General features: G+C 42.9%; 2 long non-coding RNA genes and 1 pseudogene across 2 annotated transcripts; 1 reads left to right on the top strand and 2 right to left on the bottom strand.

The window, feature by feature from the left end:
• Positions 1 to 4,785: 4,785 nt before the first annotated feature.
• Positions 4,786 to 12,919, bottom strand: LOC105374803 (uncharacterized). The gene is made up of 2 exons (XR_940242.3): positions 11,913 to 12,919; positions 4,786 to 5,086 (listed from the first exon to the last, which is right to left on the bottom strand). It is a non-coding gene; the product is annotated as an uncharacterized LOC105374803 (long non-coding RNA).
• A 65-nt stretch (positions 12,920 to 12,984) lies between these two features.
• Positions 12,985 to 14,921, top strand: LOC105374802 (uncharacterized). The gene is made up of 2 exons (XR_940241.2): positions 12,985 to 13,815; positions 14,656 to 14,921. It is a non-coding gene; the product is annotated as an uncharacterized LOC105374802 (long non-coding RNA).
• RNU6-111P (RNA, U6 small nuclear 111, pseudogene) lies at positions 22,080 to 22,184 on the bottom strand (annotated as a pseudogene).

Raw genomic sequence — 25,729 nt, 5'->3', positions numbered from 1 at the left:
TGAACAGAGCAGGGTGGCGGTTTTTTGTTTGTTTGTTTGTTTGTTTGTTTGGGTTTTTTTTGAGATGGAATCTTGCTCTGTCACCAGACTGGAGTGCAGTGGCACGATCTCAGCTCACTGCAACCTCTGACTCCCTGGTTCAAGCGATTCTCCTGCCTCGGCCTCCCGAGTAGCTGGGATTACAGGCAAGCACCACCATGCTCAGCTAATTTTTATTTTTATTTTTAGTAGAGACGGGGTTTCACTATGTTGTTCAGAGGGTCTCAATCTCCTGACCTCGTGATCCACTCGCCTCGGCCTCCCAAAGTGCTGGGATTACACGCGGAGCCAACGTGCCCAACCCGGCCTTCTATATATCCAGGCCTACACCCTAAAATTCCACCATCCTTCTTAATTAGAAGACAACAGAGTAAGAAGAGGATTGCTGAGCTCCGGTGGCCATTTAGCATGGCACAGGCTTAGAAGTCACGGGTGTTTCTCTTTCTAATCTTTGGGACATTGCAGATTCTATTCAACAGCTGTCTACTGAGTGCTGATATTGTATCAACAGTTGGAGGCTCAGGAAAAAAGGAATCTGTGGAACAGCCCTCAGATAGGACATCAGACAGACTGGTTGGGGATGTGAGACTCAAACCATGAGAGGATGAACTAACAATCCAAGACAGTGTGAGTTTGTAGGCTAAAATTGTGAAGTAGACCATATGTTCTATGGAAACTAAAGGAGAAAGGGAAGCAATGAAGGCTGGAATGGTCCTGGGAAGCTATAGCAGACAGACAGGAGGTGGAGAGATGAAGATTATATCTTTAAAGTCGAAAATTAACAGAAACTATCCAGCTCCCCTGAGTAATCAAAGCTGCAGTAGAAGATGCTCTCAGACAGATCAGCATCACCCCTTACTAAGAACTAGTTGTATGGCCTGGCAGATAGATGTTCTTGTGCCCATATTACAGCAAGGCATGTAGAGAGATTGGCAGCTTCCCAGAGACTCATTACAAGGAAAAGGACAGAGCCACAAATGAAGTTCATGTAGTGCAACTGACTTCCACTTCACATCTATTTCACTCTCTCCGCATGAGGTGGAACTCTCCAATCTTCTGGGAGAATATCAGCTGTATCTGGCACAGAACATCTGGGACATCCACCATATATCTGGGATGCCTAGGGCCAGGGTTTGCCTTGAAGGGCATGGGCTCTAGAGCAAGGACAACACTGAGAGTCTTGCCTACTGCATACACAGACTAATCAAGTAGGTAAAATGCAATCTGAAAACACATACACATGAAATAGAATAGCATTTTGAGCTATTTAGATATGAAGTGACCATCCCAGGAAACATTATGCATATATTCACTCAAAGCAAGGTAAATAATCATATAAATCATATAATGTTCATATGGCAGACACTGTTGGTTGGATAACCCAGCAACCAATCCCAGTCTGTTCCTGTTTTGTCTTCTACACTGTAGAGGTGAGAAGCCTGGCACTCACTTTCCCAGCCTTCACTGCAGACAAAGGTGACTAAATAACTTAATTCCAACCAAAGAGACATAAGGAAAGTCTAAGGGGATGGCTGGAGTGAGAAAGATGCCGCTTGCCCGATAATAGGGTTAAGTGTGAAGGAAGGTTGTGCTGGGACCACCCTTTCCTCTCTTTGTCCTGCCTTGATTGAGGATGTAATGACTGGAATTGTGGCAGCCATTTTTGAAATAACAAGTATGAGAGAAGCTGGGCACGGTGGCTCATGCCTGTAACCCCAGCACTTTGGGAGGCTGAGCCAGGCAGATCGCTTGAGCCCAGGAGTTCAAGACCAGCCTGGGCAACATAGAGAGATCCCATCTCAATAAAATTTTTTTAAAAATTAGCTGAGTGAGGTGGCTCATGCCTGTGGTCCCAGGTACTTGGGAGGCTAGGGCGGGAGGATCGTTTGAGCCCAGGAGTTTGAGGCTGCACTGAGCTGTGATCGTGTCACTGCCCTCCAGCCTGGGTAACAGAGTGAGACCCTGTCTCAAAAAAGAAAAAAAGACCCCAGCAGACACTCAGAAGTAACTGACTGGAAGACAGAGATAGAGACTGTGAGACCGTTTCCTTGGTTTTGGCCTCACCAGAGTGCTGGATTATTCCAGTTGTCCAGAAACCATTAAAGTCCATAAATTTTGAACTTACAATCAGCCAGAAGATATCCTAGCATAAGGTTAACTTGGGGACTATGCACTTGCCATTTATTTGAGGAGAATGCGTCTACATATAACCCTTTAATTTCTTTTTTTTTAATGTTATTTTATTTCAGATTCATTTCCCTTTCAGCCCTTCCTTAGCCCAGGTTTCCTAGCAGAAAGCATGGGAGGCAAAGCTTCTGTGCTGGTGCTTTCCTGAGAGGGACAAGCCCCAGGTCAGCAAGAGGGAGGGAAGTGAGAAGTGAGGGAGGTGAGGAGGGGAAGCAAACCCAAGCTGGTATACAATCAAGTTGGCCACAGCTTCACAAGCAAGCATTGCTGTTACTCGGCCACACAGGATATCTGCCAGGTAGGACTCACCGGCTTCAGAATAATCCCTCAGCGGAAAGAGAAGAAAAAGATAGGACCTAGAAATCTGTGTTTTAACAAGGCCTTTGGGTGATTCTATTCACATTCAAGTTTGAAAACAAGGCAGGGCTCAGTGGCTCAAGCCTTTAATCCCAGTACTTTGGAAGGCCGAAGCGGGAGGATCACTTGAGCCTAGAGGGTGTTGAGGCTGCAGTGAGCTATGCTTGTGCCACTACACTCCCACCTGTGTGGCAGAGTGAGACCCTATCTCAGAGAGAAAGAAAAGAAAGAAAGAAAGAGAGGGAGAAGAAAGAAAGAGAGAAAGAAAGAAAAAGAAAGAAAGGAAGAAAAAAGAAAGAGAGGAGGAGAGGGGAGGGAAGGAAGGAAGGAAGGAAGGAAGGAAGGAAGGAAGGAAGGAAGGAAGGAAGGAAGGAAGGAGCACTGCTTTATGGAGATAGTCACTCACCTATGGACAAAACTTCCATAAGCTACAGTCACATTAAGAGCCAAACACTATGTAGGCAGCTGAAAACCTGTCACCTGGATCACAGAATTAAAAGCCAACTGCAGAAAAATTCCTTCTTTTTAAACCTCAACTACAGTACAAACCTCTAAGCCACACATCTGGCCCTACCAAAAAAATTTCCATATGAATATTTTTTCCTCTGCATCCCACTCTCAGGTTTTTATTTCTTAGTATTTCTGGCCAATGCACCAAATGTTGAAGTTTCTGAAACTGCACACTCCCAACTTCTAAGTTGAAGCCCACTCAAGGGGCAAGGCCCCTTCCCATATAAATCTAACGTCATGAGGGAGAACACTGAAGGGCACATGTCCCTGCTGCTGGCAGCTGTCTCCCAAGAGGAAAAGAAGTCAGAGCTGAGACGGGCACACCCAGCTCACCCTCCCTAACTTTACTGAACAGAGAAGAAACTTCATTTTCCCTGGAGAAAGGATAGGAATTTCAGTAATGGGTATCCCCGCTCATGGAGGAAAAAAAGCAGAAGTGGAGAAAAAGAATCCTCCCCAAAATGAAGGATGGTGGAGAAGAAAACTAAAAGGAGCCTGCATCTTTGACGGCATCCTATAGCTGCCACACCAGCCCTGAGACTTCTGCCTTCAGACTTCTTGACACATAAGCATTTGCTATGGGTAGAACCGTACACCCCAGGAAAAGATAGGTTGAAGTCCTGACCCACCGTACCTCAGAATGGGAATTTATTTGCGTCTTTAACAGAGGTAATCAAGTTAAAAAGAGGTCATGATGTTAGGGAAGCAGGAGCCCAGGAGAGCCACAGTGATATCATTTTAAAATCAACTCCATCTTAAACCTAGCAAGGCACATTCCTTGCCAGTCACAACCCATGGTGCTAAGATGTTTACAGCTGAGGAAGCAGCTTGGTAATGCCTGCAAGGACAAACTCCTACAACAACAGAAAGTCCAGATGTCCCAACACCCAAAACAACATATCCTTTCAAGATAATAATAGTTATGTTTTGATGTACTCACACACAAAAAAATGTCAAGGATCGTTTTCTTGAAATCAATAGGATGATACATTTTGTCATGCTGTCTGCTCACCTTCACGTAGTCATGGTTTAGTTTCGTCTTTATGTAGACAAGACCCCTATATAAGAAAAATAACTTAAAGACAGTGCATTCCTCTGCTTGTTTTGTGAGGACACCCTAGTCTGTAATGTAGTCATTTCTAATAAGCTTGCTTCTTTTACTGTGCTCTGTGGCTCATCTTGAATTCCTTCCTGCCTGAGATCCAAGAACCCTCTCTTGGAGTCTGGATGAAGACCCCTTTTTCTGGTAACAATTAGAGTGGGTCCTGATCCAATATGACTGTTGTCTTTATAAAAAGGAAAAATTTGGACCCGAGGACAGACAGATACATGCACAGATGGAAGATGATGTGAAGAGACACAGGGAGAAGACAGCCATCTACAAGACAAGGATGCCTGAGGCTACCAGGAGCTGCAAGAGAGACCTCAACAGATCCTCACCAAGTACCTGCAGAGGGATCATGGCCACCTGAACAGATCCTCACCAAGTACCTGCAGAGGGATCACAGCCCTGCCAACACCTAGATTTCAAAGGTCTAGGCTCTAGAACTGTGAGACAATAACTTTCTGTTGTTTGAGCCAACCAGTTTGTGACAGTTTGTTATGGCATTCCCAGGAAACTAATACACCTTGGATCTATATACATATCTGTTCCACTTATTTATTGCTGTATAACAAATTAGACCCAAAACGTAGCAGCTTAAAACAATAAACATTTATTATCTCACACAGTATCTGAGCTCAGTATCTGTGAGCCACAAATTCGGGAGCAGCTTCAGTGGATATTTCTGCCTCTCATGAAAGTCTCAGGAGGGTAAAGTCAAGATGTTGGCTGAAACATCCAGAAAGCCTGGCTGGGGCTGGAGGATCCGGGTCTAAGTTGGCTTACTCTTATGGCTGGTGCTGGATGACAGTGAGAAGCTCCAGTTCTTCTCCAGATGAGCCTCTCCAGAGGGCTGCTTGAGTGTGCTCATGACATGGCAGCTGCATTCCCCTAGAATGAGTGACCCAGGCAGAAGCTGGAATACCTTTCATAACCTAGGCTCAAAAGTCACACACCACCATTTCTACAACGTCCTGTCATCACACAGATTAGTCCAATCACTGTGAGAGGGGCACGAGCATCAGGAGGTCAGATAATTGGGAGCCATTCAATGACTTCTATGTCATTGAAGTGAATAATATACCATTTTAATGTTCTTGTTTATAATTTACCTTTCTAGACGTGGAAACTGGACATTCCTTTTTTTTTTATTTTTTTGAGACAGGGTCTCATTCTGTCACCCAGGCTGGAGTGTAATGGTGCAATCATAGCTCATTGCAGCCTTGACCTCCTAGGCTGAAGCCATCTTCTGCTCCAGCCTCTAGAGTACCTGGGAGAGTGCAGGAGGATGGAGGATAGCAAGAGGATAGAAATATAAATTTGGTCCCTAAATCCCAAATACCAAATGTGGCACATCAAGGGCTGGGCAGCAGGGTATGGCTAGAAAAATGAACAAAGCAATTCAAAGCAAATAAAAAGCAATCCTGTTGCACCCACTAAGACTGCAGAATTCATCTCTATGAAAGGCAATTCAAGCAGGAAAATCAATACAAGAAGGATGTATAGAAATTTAAAGATGATTAGCAAAATCACAAATTAATAAAGGAAAATGGAAATTTGGTGAGCGTGTCAGTTAAGATTTTCTTGGTTCTAGGCCGGGCGCAGTGGCTCACGCCTGTAATCCCAACACTTTGGGAGGCCAAGGTGGGCGGATCACAAGGTCAGGAGATGGAGACCATCCTGGCTAACACAGTGAAAGCCCGTCTCTACTAAAAAATACAAAAAAAAAGAGCCGGGCATGGTGGCTAGCACCTGTAATCCCAGCTACTCGGGAGGTTGAGTCAGGAGAATCACTCGAACCCGGGAGGCAGAGGTTGCAGTGAGCCAAGATCACACCATTGGAATCCAGCCTGGGTGACAGAGCGAGCCTCCGTCTAAAAAAAAAACAAAAAAAACAACAACCTGACTTGTACCAGTTTAAAGGGAACCTATTGGAAGAACACTGGGCACCTCACTGAATACAAGCCTCAAACATGCTAGGCCCCAGGCAGCTGTGAAGACCCCAGCAGGGGAGGATTGTGCAGCTTCCCTCTAGAACATTACCACTGATGGGACTCTGCTGTAGGGACTCCCAGCCCATGAGTCTCTTGATTCCATATTCCAGTTCCTCCCAGAAGAGAGAATATGGCTGGCCCAACCTGGACCAGTTCTCCTCCCCTGTACCAATTACCTGCCTTGGGGAAGATTTAAAGAGCACAGACCTGGCTGCTGTGATTTGGGGGCAGTTCTCAGGCAATTGTGAGCAAAGCATCACCCAGACAGCTCCCTACCACAGGGCCCATCGTAAGTCATTTCTTTTGGCACACATCTCAGGAGAGCTCTGGCCTGCAGTAGGCCAATCCACACCTTTGCTGGTGATTGTGAGCTCCCTTACATTACCCTGTTCTTATGTTCTATAACATCTTGACCAGAAAGAAAACAGTCTTTCCTGCGGCCAGCCACAATGACACCCAGAGCCCAGAGAATGATGTAAAGCCTGTCCTTACTTTTTGCTCAGTAAAGCCCTTCAGGCAATCCAGACAACCTCAGGTGGGAAAGTTCAAGTCCCACGTTCTTTCTTCCCCTAGTTCCCTCCCTCTTCTCTTTTCTACTCCTCTGTCTCTATCTATTCCTTCCTAGCCCTGTTCATCCTGCTCCCAGGCTCCAGATTCTGGGGTCCATTCTGACAGAGACCCTTGTGGACAATGTCTTGGAGACAATTCTCTCCGTGGCAGAGGGAGCCTCCTTATAGCACTCTAAGTCTGGATAACTGTGGGTCTTGTAGATTCTTCAGAGTAAAATATCTTAAAAGACAAACAGGCCTTTACCTTGCTAATTCAAATCACCTCCCAGAATACATTTTTAGTCTAAGAGACCCTCTCCACAACAAGGGTGAAGATGAACCAAGAGGGGTCCACAACATGGGTCTTTTTTTTTTTTTTTTTTTATGGAGTCTCACTCTGTCACTAGGTTGCTAGAGTGCAGTGGTGCGATCTCGACTCACTGCAACCTCCGCCTCCCGGGTTCAAACGATTCTCCTGCTTCAGCCTCCTGAGTAGCTGGGACTTCAGGTGCGCACGACCATGCCCGGCTAATTTTTGTATTTTTAGTAGAGACGGGGTTTTCACCATGTTGGCCAGGATGGTCTCGATGTCCTGACCTCGTGATCTGCCCACCTTGGCCTCCCAAAGTGCTGGGATTACAGGCGTGAGCCACCGCTCCCAGCCCCATGGGTCATTCTTTATATCCCCTCTTCCGTCTAGCTGTGTGTCTTACGACTCCTATTCGCTGTCTGTAACTGCTCAGAAACACAGATACAACTCAACACTGGGAGGAGTGAATAATGGCAGCGTGTGTCACTGCACCCAGCAGCCTCTAAATTATGAGACTAAAAGAAAAATGTCACTGAGGAGCCATTACCTCCCATGGCAGAAGCTGAGGGAAAAACACTAATCAGTACGGGCAGACAGTGTGGGATGCAGACCTCTTAGTCAGCTGCCCTGGTCCTGTCCTAGAATAAAGAACTTCTGGAATGCGACCAAGAAAGTTATATCCAAACTGGTGGGGTGACGCCTTCAAGGTGAATAGTATCTCAGCCATATTTGAGCTCCTCTTAAACACAGAAAATCATGCTATAAGAAGCAGCATTTAATCTGAGTTTTACTATCTGCCAAGGGAGGCCATTTAAAGATTTTTGTTTTAAAATTAAGCCTACCAAAGCAGATTCGTCCTATTGGTGACAGTGGGTGTAGATGAAAAGGTGATATAACAGGACAAGCCCTGGACTCTAAACCCGATTTGAATATAGTATGGAAAGTCACCCTGGGTGAGGGAAGGCAAAGAATGGGATGGGGACCATATAGTCAGATGTGGGTTACTGCCAAAAAGAGTCTACCTTTGTTTCGGGGTTGTTTATTAAATTATTAAATTAACTAAATAAAAGTAATTTATAAATGAAGGTGAGAAATGGGGCAGGAAAGTCAGTAAGCCCTTAGCGATTTTTATGTACCTATTTTTTAAATGAGATTTTGAAAAATGTTTAGAAAATACTAGATTCACAAAGAAGTAAACATCTGTATAACTCTATTATATTTTGAATGTTGAAATTATATATTTCTCCCACTAGCCCTCTAAGTCCCAAAGGTGATCTCAGTAAGTTTGGGGGAGTTGTGGTATGCACATCCTAACTTATGAAATGGCAATATCATAGAGAGCTCTTCAGCTTCTTCAACTCCCCACTCTGATCCACTTGGTAAAAATATCCCTTTAAATGTCCTCAAAAGTGTTCAGCCATCCCATTACTGGGTATATACCCAAAGGATTATAAATCACGCTGCTATAAAGACACATGCACACGTATGTTTATTGCGGCTCTATTCACAATAGCAAAGACTTGGAACCAACCCAAATGTCCAACAATGATAGACTGGATTAAGAAAATGTGGCACATATACACCATGGAATACTATGCAGCCATAAAAAATGATGAGTTCATGTCCTTTGTAGGGACATGGATGAAATTGGAAATCATCATTCTCAGTAAACTATTGCAAGAACAAAAAACCAAACACTGCATATTCTCACTCATAGGTGGGAATTGAACAATGAGAACACATGGACACAGGAGGGGGAACATCATACTCTGGAGACTGTTGTGGGGTGGGGGGAGGGGGGAGGGATAGCTTTAGGAGATATACCTAATGCTAAATGATGAGTTAATGGGTGCAGCACACCAGCATGGCACATGTATGCATATGTAACTAACCTGCACATTGTGCACATGTACCCTAAAACTTAAAGTATATTAAAAAAAAGTGTTTACCTACATATAGCTGCCCTGGTATGAGGCTAAGTGATGATCAATGCAAGGTGAATGGACCCAGATCCTGGAACTCCCATGAGCTTGCAATTTTGGGAATGATTAGGAATAACTGGAAGCACAAGTTATTAAATAAATACACAAATGTAAAGAAAGTGACTTTCACCCCAAATAGCCAGAGCAATTTTAAGCAAGAAGAAAAAAGCTGGTGGCATGACACTTCCTGATTTCAAAATGTCTTACAAAGCGACAGTAATCATAACAGGATAGTACTGGCATAAACACAGACATATAGACCAATGGAACAGAATAGGGAGTCCAGAAATAAATACATGCATGTGTGGTCAACTGATCTTTGACAAGGGTGCCAAAAACACAATGGGGAAAGCATAGTCTCTTCAGTAAATGATTCTGAGAAAACTGGATATCCACACACGGAAGAATGAATTTGGACCCCTAGCTCATGCCATATACAAAAATTAACTCAAAGTAGATTGAAGACTTAAATGTAAGACCTGAAACCATAAAACTACTAGAAGAAAACAGGGAAAAAGCCTCTTGATGTTGGTCTGGGCAACGATTTTTTGGATATGACATCTGAAGCACAGACAACAAAAGCAAAATAAACAAGTGGGATTGCATCAAACTAAAACGTTTCTGCACAGCAAAGGAAACACTCAACACAGTAAAAAGGCAACCTATAGAATGGGAGAAAATATCTGCACATCATATGTCTGCTGAGGGTTTAACCCCCCCCCATACACACACGTACACACACAAATAACCCAATTTAAAAATGGACAAAGAACCTGAAAAGACATTTCTCAGAAGAATGCCCAACAAGTATAGTACATGAAAAGGTGCTCAACATCATTACACATTAGGGAAATACAAATCAAAACCACAATGAGGTATCACCTCATACCTGTTAGGATGGCTCTTATTGAAAAGACAAAAGGTAACAAGTGTTGGTGAAGTTGCAGAAAAAAGGGAACCCTTGCACACCATAGTTGGGAATGTAAATAGGTACAGTCGTTAAGGAAAGCGATATGGAGGTTCCTCAAAAAATTAAAAATAGAACTCCCATATGATCCAGCAATCCCATTTCTGGGTATATATCTAAAGGAAATGAAATCAGAATCTCAAAGAGGTATCTGCACTCTCATGCTCACTGTAGCATTATTTGCAATAACCAAAATGCAGAAACAAATGTCTGTTGATGAATGAATGGATTTAAACATTGAGATAGATAGATAGATAGATAGATAGATAAAGGTGATATTTATTTACATAGATATAGCTTATTCAGTCTTTAACAAGAAGGAAATCCTGCCATTTGCAATGTGGATGAACCTGGAGGACATTATGCCAGGTGAAATAAGCCAGGTACAGAAAGACAAATACTGCATAATCTCACTTACATGTGGAATCTAAAACGGTAAAACGCATAGAAGCAGAGAGTAGTTGCCAGGGTGGTCACCAGGGCGAGGGGAAATAAGAAGATGTTGGTCAAAGGATCCAAAGTTTCAGTTACACAGAATGAATAAGTTCTGGAGACCTAATGCACAGCATGGTGACTATAGTTAGTAATATTGTATTAGATTCTTGAAATTTGCTAAGATCATAAGATCTTACGTGTTCTAACCCTAAGGAAAAAAAAAAAGAAAACGTTAACTATGTGAGGTGCTGGATATATTAATTAGCTTGATCATGGTGATTTTTTCACAGTGTATATGTATATCAGAACATCAAGTTGTATACCTTAAATATATACAATTTTTATTTGTCAGTTATACAATAATAAAGATGAAAAAATAAATTTTTTAGCATATCTCCCCAATTTAGTATTTGTGTTTATGTACAAGTTATATATCAGCACTAGTTTTCCAATATATTGTATATGTTATAAAACGTACATAAAATTTTGAGGGATGAGGTTTTAAATAATTATTATATAATAACATCTTAGTAGGAGTAAAGTGATAGAATAAGCTTCATTATTTTTGAAAAGTTTAGATACTGACCTGGGAATTCTACAATCATTAGGCAAATACTAGCAAATTAATAAGTGTTAATGTTATTTTGGCTTACAAATGTGATTTCTGATTTGTTAAAAAGTTTTGAAAAGCATATTTGTAAATAATCAAAGGAAATGTTCAAGTATTCATTTTGCAGAATTGTAATGTTTAATTAAAATTTGTTATGAAATGTATCATATATAAAAGTACACAAAGATAATCAGTTTAAAAGAAAAAAAGAAAGATTGTTTTCATTTGGTTCAAGCAAAAAATAATTGTAAAAAGGTAAAGGGTGTTTAACGGATAGTGAATAACTGTGGGGCCAGGAATAATCTGTACCCCGCTGGCAAGTCTCCTGGATAAATGTGCATTGCATCTAATGTATGTCAAGCCCTGGGTGCGGAAAAGATACAAAGATGAATAAGAGCTGATGCCTGCCCACAAGGAGCTTGGTGTCGAGTAGGGGAGATAGGTGTCTATACAAATAGCTAATTTATACAAAAACACAGAATTTGACCAAGGCTTAATAACAATAACCAAAAAAAGATACTGAGAGCACAGTGACAAGGGGAAGGACAAGTCTATTTGAGAATTTGAGTCACCTTGAGCAAGGCCTGGAGAAAAAGCCAGGAAAAGCCTCATTGGAGAAGACTGTGAACAAGGGACTTAGACAAAAGAGACTTGAAGGCTTAGGAAGGGTCGGTGAGAAGTAGTAGGGACAAGGGGCATGAGGAAGGGCAGTGTCTAAATCTGGGCCTTGCTCTTAGACTTCCCAGAAGGCCCAAGAGCCCCTAAGGATGAGGCTAATGTGGCCAAAGTGATAGGAAGGTTGGGCACAGATGCTGGGTCAGGTAGGGGCTCTTGAGGGAAATCTGGAGGGCAGCCTCAGCCCTAGACTCACCATCTGGGGAGCTGTCTCTGGAGGACCAGGTCTGCTGTGGGATAGGCGGCTTCCTGCCTGGATAGCCAAGTCAGGGGCTGGATCAGGAGACTGATAGGAAGGCAATGCGGCCGACGTGAGAAAGTAGAAGCAAGAGAGTAAAGTGGTTAGGGGCACAGTACCGGAACCCAACTTCTGAGTTTATGTCCCAGATCTCCACCTTCTAGCTTCTTAATCCTGGATCAAAACTTAAACTCTCTGTTCCTCAGATTCCTCTTCCATAAAATGTGGACAATAAAATCACCTACGTCATAGAGCTGCGGTGAGCAGCAGGAAAGGAGCTGACAAATAGAAACTGCTAGCACAGGGTTAGCACCCATCAGTGTTAGCTGGGAGTATTCTCTAGGCATTTGACCAGAGGGTCCTTCCATTTCTCTATCCCCACTGATTTTTTCAAAAATCCATTTCATTGTCATCGAGGGCCAATTCATTCAGTTGGTCAAAACGTGGACTACTGAGGCCAGTGGGTTGAGGCTCAGTCTCTCTATGGATCCATTAATGCTTCTTGGTTCCACATCAAAGATGGAGACTGCTTCCAGCATAGTCCCCAGGCTGGGGGGCCAGCCATCTCAAAATAGGTGCCCTTGGTTATGGGAGGGCCTATGGGAAAGCAGGGGTGGGCCAAGGACCCCATCCCCCATTGAACAATCAGTGTGGACCCCACCACTCCCATCCTTTAATTTTCTAAAACAAGGAGAGAGACAAAATAGTTTCAATCACAGGCTTCAATTCCTCTTTTTCCCAATCCTACTTCCCATATCCTCCAGCCCCTCCCACAAAGCTAACACCCCAATGAAGAGTCCTGGCATTCCTGATGCTCTGGAGAAAGGCTCAGCCTCTGATAACCAAGGGACATAAGGCTCTTAAAGGCAGTAGAACCACCACAGAGCCCAGGAGCTCCGAGGCAAAGGTGCTGGCAGCAGGCACCCAGCAGCCTATATATGGAGCTGCCAGGAAAGCGACTTGTTTCCAGGGTGAGCCGGCACAGGCTTTCAGGAAACTCGGAACCTAGCAACTCAGAACCTAGCAACGTAATTGAAGCCTGCCACGCTCACCTCTCAGCCCTCCACCTCCAGCCCAGCTCCTGCTCAGCGCGGAGCTGCTTTGGAGAACTTGCTGCTGGCGCCCAACAGCTGGGTGAATTCTGCTTACAGTGTTTTCCAAAGAGGCCTGTAGGACATCTGGGTCTTCCATGGTGGTGGGGGTTTTGGCCTCAACAACAAGGCTCTGGTGGCAGAAATGATAGCAACCCAGTGAAAAGAGAGGGACAAAAGGGTCAAAGGAGTCAGTGCAAAAGCACTGTCTGGGAAAGCGAATCAACCCAGATTGTCCCCTCGGGAAACATGGCATGTGCTTGGTGTGACAGCTGATTCTCCCCTTAATCACTGCCATGAAAACAAAATAACCATAAGAACAATGGCAGATTAGACAAGGGAAATTAAGGAACCCAAATACTGACAGGACGCATTTTTGAAGATACAGCAGACTCCTGGGTCCTTGTGACAACCTTCCCACACCAATTCTCAGACCACCTTCTACCCGAACCTGCACGGTGTCAAAATGGCCTCCACAAGAAGCAATCCAATGGGGCTCTGTTCTCTCCTTGCCAAGACCACGATGATAACGCAGTTGTGATGGCCACAGGACTAGGAAGGACCATGGATATAGGCAGCAAAGTCTAAGGAAATTTTCTTAGACAGAAGTCTGAAACTAGCATGGAGAATAAATGGTTAAGGAAAGAGAGAGAAAGAGAGACAGCGAGAGAGAGCGAGAGTGAGAGCGAAAGCGAGAGCGAGAGAGACAGATCAGAGATGGGACCTCCAAAGCCAGGATGTAGCAAGGTTACCAGCAGCAGCCCTGTAAGGTAAGTCTGGTCCCACAGGGCCTTTCAAGAGGGACTCCTCGTGTCTAGGGCCAGAAATGACTTCTAACTGGCTTCTGGTCATTTTTCCTTATTTTAACAAAGATCTATTTGATTTAATAGGCTTTTGTCTCAATGCTATTTGAACATACTTTGCTGACTCAATGAGGGCTGTTTTAACCATTCTTCTTATACTATCCTTACCCCTATTTCATTGCTTCTTTTCCTAATTTTCAGGCTTCCAGTTCTACCTTCTTTCTATTATTTTCCCTTACCTTTCCATCCTATGTATTAAACTTTATTCTTTTTAAAACTATTTGCTTCTATGTTTTAGCCTTTTTATTTAAGAAAAATTTAACCTTAAACAAATCTTCCTTCACTTATATTTCTTGTATATTCCTTTAAAATGTTGTTTAGATATTTACAGATTTAATGCTTGTATTAAATTAAATACTTGTATATTCCTTTAAAATATTATTTTGATATTTACAGATTTAATACTTTCTATTGTATTTAGTTTTAGTTCAACCTTTTATGCTTAAATTGTTGAGGGCTTTAAATCCTTGTTGTTAACTGTATCAGTCATGATTCAGAGCAGGCATGTGGCAGATTATACTTCCTAAAAATGGCTGCAATATTTCCATCCCACTTGCTCTTCCAGAATTTTGTCACTCCTCCATCAACAGGTGGAGTCTAAGTCCTCTCCCTTGAACCTAGATGAGTCTATATAACTGCCTTGACTACTAGAGTATGGCAGAAGGGATGCTATGGGACTTCTGAAGCTAAGCAATAAAGGTGATCTCTCTCCCTCTCTGTTTTTGTCTTTCTCTCTCTCTCAAAAAGCTCTCCCTTGTAACCCAGCAACTATGTTGTGAGGAAGCCCAGGTCGCCTGGAAAAGTCCACATGGACAGGAACCCAGGAACTCAGCTGACAGCCAGCACCAGCTGGCCCACCTGTATGCATGGGCCCTCTTGGAAGTAGACCCTCCAGCCTTCAGTAGAACCCCTCCAACTGATTCAATGTGATACAAAGATGAACCTTCCCTGCCAAGCCCTGCCCAAATTGCAGGTTTGTGGGCAAAATAAATTATTGTTGTTGTTGTAATCTACTAAATTCTGGATGGTTTGTTAGACAACAATAAGATAACTGAAACTAGGAAACAGAAACTATGTGTTTTAAAAAGGAAGAGGTTTACTAGAAGATATCAAATACTTACAAAATCTTTGGAAAGGCTAGAATTAATCTCAGAATATAAAATTATTAAACTCAAAAATATGCTATAGTACAGGGACCAGGAAGTCCCTGCTGGCCAACACACCCACTTTTCAACACCTAAAAAGCCAGGGAGTGGGCACTGGAGCACCGTTCATGTCCCTTGATATGGCTTGACAGCAGAAAAACCACCCAAAGAGACAGGGAGATGACTCTGCCCTGTGCCCACCTTCTAAGTCTCACACAAGGCATATGCTTGGTATTACTTAATTTGCATTCAAATTCTAGCTGTAAAGGAATCTGAGAACTGTAGTTTTCAGCTTTCCAGCCTCTGCAGTACAAGGAGGCCCTCAGAAGCAAGGAGAAATAGAGATTAAGCAAATCAGCCAAAAATATCCATGTCTACCTTCTGCCCAATTGATTATACCAACTACCATATTTTCAAACTGTTTTTATTTCATCTCCCCTTTTCCATATTTATTACTTCATTTTTCATGATTTGTTTTTATACTGGCTAGCAGAATTAGTGGGTGTAATGATGATAGCTTTGAGGAGACTGCACTCTACAAGCAGGGAAGTTTAAAACCTCTGTCTCCAGATGCACCTGTGGCATTCATCTGGTCTCGCCTAATAGATACCCAGTCCTTGAAGTTGGCTCCTTGTTGTGCCTAGCATACTGTCTTCCCTCAGTCTCACTCTGCAAAGGTTTCCAGGTTATTAGTCTGAAATGTATCCATCCAGCTCATTTTCTACACATTAACATTTTTATACTCACTATATCAAATTTAATGGACTAAAAATATATACTGTTCTGCAATTCATTTTTGTTATGTTACAATATATCAAAACAACTTTCTAACAGTATATATGGATCTATCTCATTTTAAACAGCTACAGTTTTTTCAATCACATAAATTACTATAATTATTTAACTAATCTCCTCTTGATGGATACATAGCCATTCTTTTCCAATATGGCTTCTGAGTTTTAGTTCATTCTTGCAAAGGCCTTCTTCATTCCAAAATTATAAAAATTACCTGATACATTTTTTGGTTATTTTATAGTTTGGGGTTTATTATTGTATTTTAATATGTCTGGAATTTACTTTTGAGTGTTGTGTAAAATATATATTCTACTTTTTCTTCCAGAGGTCTACCCAGTTCTCTTAATACCATTTATTCAATAATCAAATGTTTGCATTACTGTGAAAAGCTACTTATATTCTAAATTCCATATACATGTGGGTTGGTTTCTCAACTCTGTTCCACTGGTTCATTTGGGTATCCCTTGCACTAGCACTACATTATGTTAATAGGTTTTGATATTTGATAGAGCTTTAGACATCATTTTCAAAATTCTCTTGATTATTTTTTCCTATTCTTCCAAACATATTTTAGAACTAATTTGTCAAATTGCACTCCAATTGCACAAAAAAACCACAGATGTTATTGGAATCTTTACAGAAATTGCATGAAACTTACAGATTGATTTGGGGAACTGACTGTGGCAGCTATGGAGGTGTGGCCACTCAAGTCTCCCTTCAACAAAGGATTTGCCATTCAGCTGCAAGCAGTGCAGTTATCCATGAGCCTACAGCTGTTAGCACCTTTCAGGTTCACCTTAGCTTTCAGGCCAAGACCATGCTCTTTCCAGCTAGGCCTCTCACCAACGACTGAGAGCAAAGAGGGCATAGAGACTGGCCGCTTCTTCCCAATGCAGGATTCTTCTAATGGGTTATTTGCTCTGGAACTCGCCACTGGGTTGGCTGAGACTGTCAGATGCTCATTGCAGTGTGAGGCTCTTCTATCCAATCTTGCCTTTATCTCTCACATGTGTAACTCCCAAATAAACTCCCTGTAGCCTTCCCTCTCAATGTCTGCTTCACAGAGAACCCACCAACACTGACACTGACATATTCATAATATTGAGTCTTCCCATCCAATAAGACATATGTCCCCACCTAGTCTATTGTTCAATGCCCTTCAGAAAAAATTTTTATCATTTTCTTCATATTCATATTGCACATTCTTAAGTTTATGACTAGTAATTACTCAATTTTTTAAAGTTTTTTTTGCTGAAGTAAATGACATCTTTGAAGTGTGATAAAATATATCAATCACACTTTAAATTGATATATTTTAAAGGTATGTAGTAGGTCATAAGGGTTTATAACTGTTATGTCATCGCCTTGTCATTCATTTCTAAGTTGTCTTCCTTTTGACCTCCTGAAAACAAACATAGAATTAAACAACAACAATCTACTTCCATCAGTAGGAGAATGGATAAACAAATTGGTATATTTAAACAATGGAAAGTTAGTGACTGAGAAAAAAGGATTGATACATACAAAACATTTATTAATTGATACTGATGCATGAAAAACATGGAGTGGGTAAATCTTACAGAGATTATGTTGAGCAAAAGAAGCCAGACACAAAACAGTACGTACTGAATTATTCCATGTATATGAAGTTCAAGAGTAGGCAAAACTAATCTATAGTGATATACTGAGAAATATGGTTACCCGAAAGAGGGGGTATCTACTGACTGGAAAAAGGTACAAGGGAACTTTTTGGAGGATGTAAATGTTCTATATATTGATTTGTGTTAAAAAGTCATCAAATGGTAGATTCACTTAAGATTTGCTCCTTTCACTGTATATAAATTAAAGCTCCATAAATAAAACGTAGTGGGTCAGAGGAAGACTCTGTTTCTCCTACTGATTCTCCACCTAAATAAATGACCACTGGCCAGGCACGGTGGCTCATGCCTGTGATTTCAGCACTTTGGGAGGCTGAGACAGGAGAATTGCTTGAGCCCAGGAATTCAAGACCAGCCGGGGCAACACAGTGAGAGCCCCATCTTTACAAAAAAAAATTTTTTAATTAGCGGGGTGTGGTGGTGCGTGCCTGTGGTTCCAGCTACTTGGGAGGCTGAGGTGGGAGAATTGCCTGAGCTGGGGAAAGTTGAGGCTGCAGTGAGCCATGATCGTGCCACTGCACTCCAGTCTGGGCAACAGAGCATGAGAGCCTGTCTTGAAAAAGAAAAAAAAAAAAACGACTAACCCATGGTCAAAACTGAACCCAAGAGTCAACCTTGACTCCTTCCTCTCTCTTTTGCCCCAAGGGTAGCTATTCACCCTTGTGTGTGTGTTATAAAAGAGCTCCTAAATGGCTGCTGACTCTGAAAGCTTCTCCTTTCCTGTTGCCACCCACTGTTCACGTCTGAGGGCCCACTGTCAGTTGATTTGCCACAGTGGCCTCCTAACTGATCCCCGTTCCAGGTCACCTTCCACGCTGTATCAGAGCATGGAAGGTGGTCTTAGAACGCTGGTCATTCTAAGATAAAAATCGCATCGCCTGTACAGCTTAAATCTCTTCAATAGCATCGTATTACTCTAGGGATAAAGTCCAAATGCCTATGCATAGAAGCTTGTGATCAGATAGGTGGGGAAAAAAAAAAAAAAGTCCAAATGCCTATGCATAGAAGCTTGTGATCAGATAGGTGGGGGAAAAAAAAAAAAAAGTCCAAATGCCTAAACCTGCTTAAAAGGTCTTCTAGGATCCTGAGCTCACCAGTTTCTCCAGCCTGACCCCACTTGCCCTTCCTAGCCTCTTTCCCTCCTCACACTCCAGCCATCATGGGCTTCCGCCAGTTCCCTGAATCCTTTTCTCCTCCCTTGTCTTTTTTCTCTCACCTTCTGGCTTTTGTATATGCTGTCCCCTTTGCCCAGAACATTCTCCCCACTCAACCTTTCCCTTTTTCTGGCTAACTTTTACTTAACCTTCCAGTCTCCATTCAAATGTCACTTCCTTGGGGAAGCCTTCCCTGAATATCTTGTTGAGCTAACGACCTCCTGCTTCCTTCTATGATCTCAAACCATCCGGTCCTTCTCCCGCTGGCACATGCATCACACCTTTCTGTAATAAGTTGTTGAACTGGCTGATGTATTAAGTCCTCAACAAATATTTAGATGAATGAATAATGAATGAATGAGAGCAAGGATTGGAAGAAAACAACTAGTCATGAAATTCATGTCATAGTGACCAATTCCACCCACATACACATAGATGCCCAGAAAACACAGGGCACACATTTGGGGTAGGAAGAATTACTCATCATTTCTTAACTGCATATATTGTTTCTAACCTCGCCTTTTTTTTTTTTTTTTTTTTTTTTGTAGCAAGTGCCTGTGCTTCAACCACCACTTAATTTGTTAATTCTGACTCTTAATCCTGAGACTATAGGTAGAGAAGGTAACATACTCCCATTTCACAGGTGAGAATGCACAAGCACAGAAAGTATTTCGAATTTGTTCAAGGTCACAGAACAAACCAGTGGCAGAACTGGGTCAGACTCAGTTCCTCTGACTCCCTGGCTTGAGGTTTTACTCTATTGTCAGATTCTCTATGTCTCCTGCAGGCCATGTGTCCCTACCAAATGTAGGGATCACCGGTTTGGCCTTTGTGAGAGCAGGTGCTTAGAAATCCTGTTGAACTTTCTTCCTTCGCTACCTACCCTGTACCAGAAACCTGCTGCACAACATTGATAAAACCAGTTCTATTCTAGGCCCTGACTTGCTGCTGCCTGGGGAGGTGACCCCCAGGGCATTCCCCCTCATGCTTAACTGAATAAAACTCCCTGCTGAAGTCTTCACATGGCACACCGCATGAACATGTGGGACCCACTGGTTGCCAAGCCAAATGTGGCTCCAGATTATTCTAGGAAACAAATAAATTGTTTTGCTCTGGATTGAAGGAATTGCTAATTAGGGATTTTTATTTTGAGCAGTGTTCCTTGGAGCTGGCAGACAGATGGAGTAGGCGACTTGCTCCAGGGGCATTGTTAAGCAGAGGGAACTATTTCTGCCCCTGGTTATGAGAACGTGCCAGAGCTCATTGCTGCCCAGCTCTTGCCCTCAAGGACAAGGGAGGCTTCCTGGCTCACAGTTATTTCCTCTTCTCTGGGCCTGGCCCTCAAAGCACAAGCACAAGACCCTAGTGGTGGTGTCAACCGGATATTACCCTGCCTGCTAACCATATAATTGTCCTAAGGAGAAGAGGAGAGGTCTTTTCTAGGATTCCCTACCTGTAACTGGGAATGAGAATCCATTTATCACAGAAGCTGAGGTGTAGAACACACAGTCTGCTAAAGGCCAGGTTTTCAGTTATCAGGGAGAAAAAAAAAAAAGGAGCTGAGAGCATTCTGAAAACTCTTAGCCTCTGACACCCAGTGTGTCCCTGATGCCCTCACAGGTTGGTTGTTTGACACTTTTTTGGATTCCCCATTCCCTTGGATATGCTGATAATTTCTTCTTTCCTCCCCTCTTTCTTTCTTTCTCTTTCTTTTTTCTTTCTTTCTTTTTCTTTCTTTCTCTCTTTCTTTCTTTCTTTCTTTTTCTTCCTTTCTTTCTTTCGTTCGTTCTTCTCTAAGCTAATTGAGGTTGCATTTCTGTCATTTGCAACCAGAAGCCCAGCCTGATGATGATGGACAGGATTCAAGGACACACAGAGGACCCAGGCTATGGCTCAACAGACCTAGCTGTGGATAAATTGCCTGGGCATTTCAGAGTTATATTGTCCAATCTCAGTACGATGACCAATCTACATCAAAGAGGTTTAAAGAAAACTATGGCAAGATGGGGGAGGAGAGACGGTGAAAAGACAGTGAGATGAGCTCAGATAAGTGAAAATAGAAGGAGGCCAGAGAGAGAGAAACATGCCAGATAGATAGGTTAAGAAGGCTTGTTTCTAATTCCATTTCTGTTCTAGAGCTATAGGTCTCTCCGTCTGCTCACTAATCCTCCTTTTTAACTTCTTAACACATGAATTGGAAATTAGTGCTCTGAACACCATTACTTAATCAAATAAAAACATTTAACAAGATCCAAGTCCGTTATTACCCACAAAGGGATAACCAGGCTTAGATCCAAAGGGCTGATGGGAGGCCGATTCCAAATCACAGGGCAGTAGCAGTGTGAAGTCACTGTAACCGTCCACCTACCTCTGACCCTCCTAGAACCCACCCTAGTCACGCCTCTTCTGTGATCATCTACCTCTCGGCTCTGTCCAGTGTTGCCAAAGGAAGGCTATAGAATGGAAGATGAGAGAAAGAATAACCTCCCTCTCTCCTGTAGGAGAACAGCTCAGAAGCCAAGCCACCTTGGAAGAATCCACTTTTCCTAATGGCATGCAGCCACCTTGTTCTCCTTGCCACCTCTCCCCATGATCCAAAAGAGAAAGAACAGGCCCGGTGTGCTGGCTCACACCTGTAATCCTAGCGCTTTGGGAATTCATGGTGGGAGAATCACTTGAGCCCAGGAGTTAGAAACCAGCCTGGGCAACAGAGAGACCCCATCTCTACAAAAAATGAGTAAATAAAAATAGAAAGAATTCAAAATAGAAAGAACAAAAGTAAAGAGGGTACATAAGCCCCCTATGTACCTGTCCCCACCTAGTCCTCCCAGTCTATGCCACAGCAGAGCAGCCTCACTTTCAGTGCCCACTACAGGGATGTGAGGAGCATAAGGAAGGCTTCCACTCAAAAAAAGTCTTTGGGTGAGGAGGCCAAAGGTACGTGGGTCACTCAGGTCAGGAGTTCAAGACCAGCCTGACCAACATGGAGAAACCCCATCTCTACTAAAAATACAAAATTAGCAGGGCATGGTGGTGCATGCCTGTAACCCCAGCTACTTGGGAGGCTAAGGCAGGAGAATCACTTGAACCTGGGAGGCAGAGGTTGCGGTGAGCCAAGATCACACCATTGCACTCCAGCCTGGGCAACAAAAGTGAAACTGCATTTCAAAAAAAAAAAAAAAAAGTATTTGGGTGAGGTATTAAGCCTCTATATCACGGAAAAGGAAATACTAAGGCCCTGTGAAAAGATTCTCATCCTTACTGATAATTTTTACAATAAAAATTAAAATATCACTGGGATGCCTCTTTCTGCTTACCAGTTGGTCCTCATATACTGCTAGTTGGCCCAGAGATTGGAACAATCTTTTTAGAGAAATATTTAACAATATATATAATTTTAAGTGTTTGTACCTTTGTCCTAAAACCAGTTCTATTTGTCCTAAAAAATTTCACTTTTTTTAAGGACCATACTAATCTTCCCTGTATCATTCCAATTTTAGTATATGTGCTGCTGAAGTGAGCATGAAATTTCACTTTTTGTAATCTAGCCTATGGCTATAGTATGAGTTCAGATCCCGGCATCATCACTAACCTGGTAAGCTTGGGCAAATTTCTTAGTGTTCCATGCTCAATTTCTCCATCTGTAAAACAGAGATAATAATACTAATCAGGTTGTGGTGAGGATTAAATGATGAGTATAGGTAAAGCTCTCACTACCTGTCAGATAGTGCCCATAGTAAATAACGTGCAAATGTTAGCTAGAATACTGTAGTATTATTACCCCATCAATGCACCACGTATACATAAAAGACCATATATAGCCAGATCCTTTATAATAGTGAAAGACAGGAAACTATAAAGTTAAAAAATTATATTCATCTACACAATGAAATATGCTGGTGAAACTGTTACCAACACTATAGATCAACACTGTAGATGGGTATCATTATGGAAAAAATTTTAAAAAAAACAAGGTACAGTGTTAATTAGTTACAAGAGTACGTATAGTATGAAAATGATGTAAATAAGAATGATGATAATAATGTGATTGTTGACTAAATGGATGTTGACTAAATGGATGTTGCATGAATATGCATGAAAAAAATCTATAGGAATCAACCTAAAACGTGTTCGTGTGTGTGTGTACAGGATAGTGAAAGGTATTCTCGTTCTTTGCATTATAATTTTTAACATTTGTTTTTTTCAATAAGCCTGTTACTTTTGTGGGCATTAAAAATAATAGCCATACTCATAATCATAATAATGACCCAAACCACAAACTAATGATGGGCCATGAGCAGGGAAGAGAAAAGAGACGGAGAAGGACCCTGACAGTTGGCCTCTTGCCTCAGGGGCCGATGATCACACTACTTCTGCCCTACTGGCTGTGGAAGCCCGGGGGCACTGCAGAGGTCTTGGGAGTGGAGTTGGGCACTGCAGATGCTGCAACTGGATGCAGACTTCATCTCTGCTGCGGCTTCATTAGCCATGTTTTTTGTTACTCTGATGGCTGGCCCTGCCTCTGTCCCTGCTTTTAAATAAATCCTTTAGGAAGAAAAAAAAAAGAGGGAGTGGAGGGAAGGGGTAGGAGAGAAGAGAGGAGAGGAAAGGAAGGAGAAGAAAGAAGCAGAGAGGAAAGAGGAGTGAGAGATGCAGTGCCCCTGCATCTCCATGGCCCCAGGAAGTGGGACATGGAACTGTTCCTCAGCTCTCGCTGTCAGGAGTCGCCATGGAGACAGAGTGCTGGCCTCTTCATGATTAATACTCCCAGGCAGCTGTCTTCTTGGAGTCTTTTAAAATACACACACTATTATTTGAACACAATGATATTTAGAGCAGAAAGATCAAGGTAGGGTGTGGAGGAGGGAGCAGTAGCATAACCAGAACTATGACAGGGGCTGAGCCCTCCCCAGAAGAGAGAGCAGGGAGGCTGCCTCTACCCTCCCTCTGCCCCTCCCCACCTCCTTCCCTGGATTCAAAGCTTCCAGTCTCATGCACTGCAGCATCAGCATCTGAAGGGCCAACCCAGCACCTGGCACTGGGCTGTGCTCAATGAATATTTGATGAATGAATTTCTTCATTCATTAATTCATTCAGCAAATGTTTGTTCAGTGCTTGTCTAGAAAGTGATTCTCCTTTGCACCTTTTCCCATGGAAATAGAAAATTCGCTCTCACCTTCCCCAAGATCACACATACACACACACACACACACACACACACACCAACTTACACAACAGCTCCAAAGAACCTTATATGTGCTACTTCTCAGCACTAGTTGTGACCCACTGTTTTCCTATCCATGGCCATCACTCCAGGGAATTCTTGCAGGGATGGGCACCAGCCAGCTCAAGTTTGCACATCACATCCTATTTGAAAGCTACAGGGAGATCCTCCATCTAAAGCCATCCAACAGTGAATCCTTTTGTAAAATTAATTATCTTTTCCTAAATTGTCTTATAGAGTAGGCTAGCCTGGACTTGACTCTCAGCTCTACCACTGACTAGAAGTGTGGTGTCGATCACGTCATTTGACCTTTTTGAATCTGTTTCCTCATCTGTGAAATTGGTCTCCAATTCCTTACTCCATAGAACTTTTGTGGAGATTGAATGATAAAATATTTGTAAAATGCTCAATGTATGTGATTTCCCTTTTTTCCCTTGTGTACATTTGTGTTTTTATATTTGAAGTGTGATTTAAATGGAGCTCATAGATCTAAGCTCTTCTCTCTTCCTTCCCTTCCCAAAGACTTTTATTTTATCTGGGCCCAGAATCTCTTTGTAAGCTGTTAAAACGTAGGGAGAAGAAGGGACGAGCTGGGAAGAACTACAAAATGCTCAGCCCCCTTTATATTCCCTCCCAGTCTTCAGAGAGCCAAAGGCAGATGCAAATTGCCCTCCAGAGGTAGCCATCCTCTGTGCCTGTGAGTGTGTGTATGTGTGTCCATTGGAGGTAAGTAGCATAGACATGGGGGTGTGAGCCATCCCACACCCAGAGCACAAGCTGTCTCTTCCCTATCTCCTTTCCTAATCACTCCTACCCACCCCCGAGCCCTGCCCCCAGGTCTGGCCTCTAACACAAGAAACTTTGGTGACTTGGACCCTTGTCCTAACACAGACCTAGTCCAACAGCCCTTGGCAGAGAGAAGCAATGGCTTGGCAACTCACCAAGAGAGTAGGGGAATTATCTGTGACTAAGAAGGAGGAGGAATGCTGTGGCAGAGGGAAGAACAGCAGAAGGGATGGGCAACCTGGGGCTGACCAATCTGGCCCGACGGGGCGACCTGGGGAGACCTGGACACCAGCCCAGTCAAACTCCTCCCCTCCTCCTCCCTCTCAGGCAGTAGGATGCCAGAGTGGATTTGAGACATGTGTGCCCTGTGTGTCTGGTGTGGGCTCACCTGGCCTTGGCAATGCATTTGGATTAGAATCAAACCCTGGATCTGAAATAGAGTATAAGGAAAATCGTGCTTGGTGTGTCCAATCTTTACAGACATCTGCTGGGTTTCTGCATTTCCTACATGCTCATATATGTGCTACTAACACAGAACCATAGGTGTAGCCATTTAGTAAGACACACTGCAAGTGCATGACCCTGTGAGAACCTTTATATGATTTGTGGACTTCAGGAGAAGATGCATACAAGTGTGTCAGCATATGTTTTGCAGGTGATTGTGTGAAGGGACATATTCTGTGAAAACACTTAATAAGGTCACTGTGGGATGAGGAGTGGGCACCTAGTGCTGGAGATGGGGCTCAGGGTCCCAGCAGACATAAAACCAAAGTCTACCTTCTGGCCTGTAATAGGCACTTAAGAAATGAATACTGAATGAATGAACATTGAGAAACTGAATGGATGTTTGGATAATGGACATAGGGTGAAAGGACTGAGAATGTGGTGGGGTTTGGGCATTCTTGGGCTCTCTCTCTCTCTCTTGAAAAAGAGGGTACAGGGGTGGAAGAGAGGCTGGGAGCTATACTGCCCATGATGCTGAGTCCACCACCCCCAAAGGGCTTTGTTTCTATTTCAAAAAAGGAGAGAAGGAAGGAGGAGCCCTAAACCTGCCCACCT

This window comes from Homo sapiens, chromosome 2 (assembly GCF_000001405.40).
Source record: "Homo sapiens chromosome 2, GRCh38.p14 Primary Assembly".
Classification (NCBI taxonomy): domain Eukaryota; kingdom Metazoa; phylum Chordata; class Mammalia; order Primates; family Hominidae; genus Homo; species Homo sapiens.
Note: the sequence above shows the minus strand (reverse complement) of the source record. Positions and strands in the feature narration are given on the sequence as shown.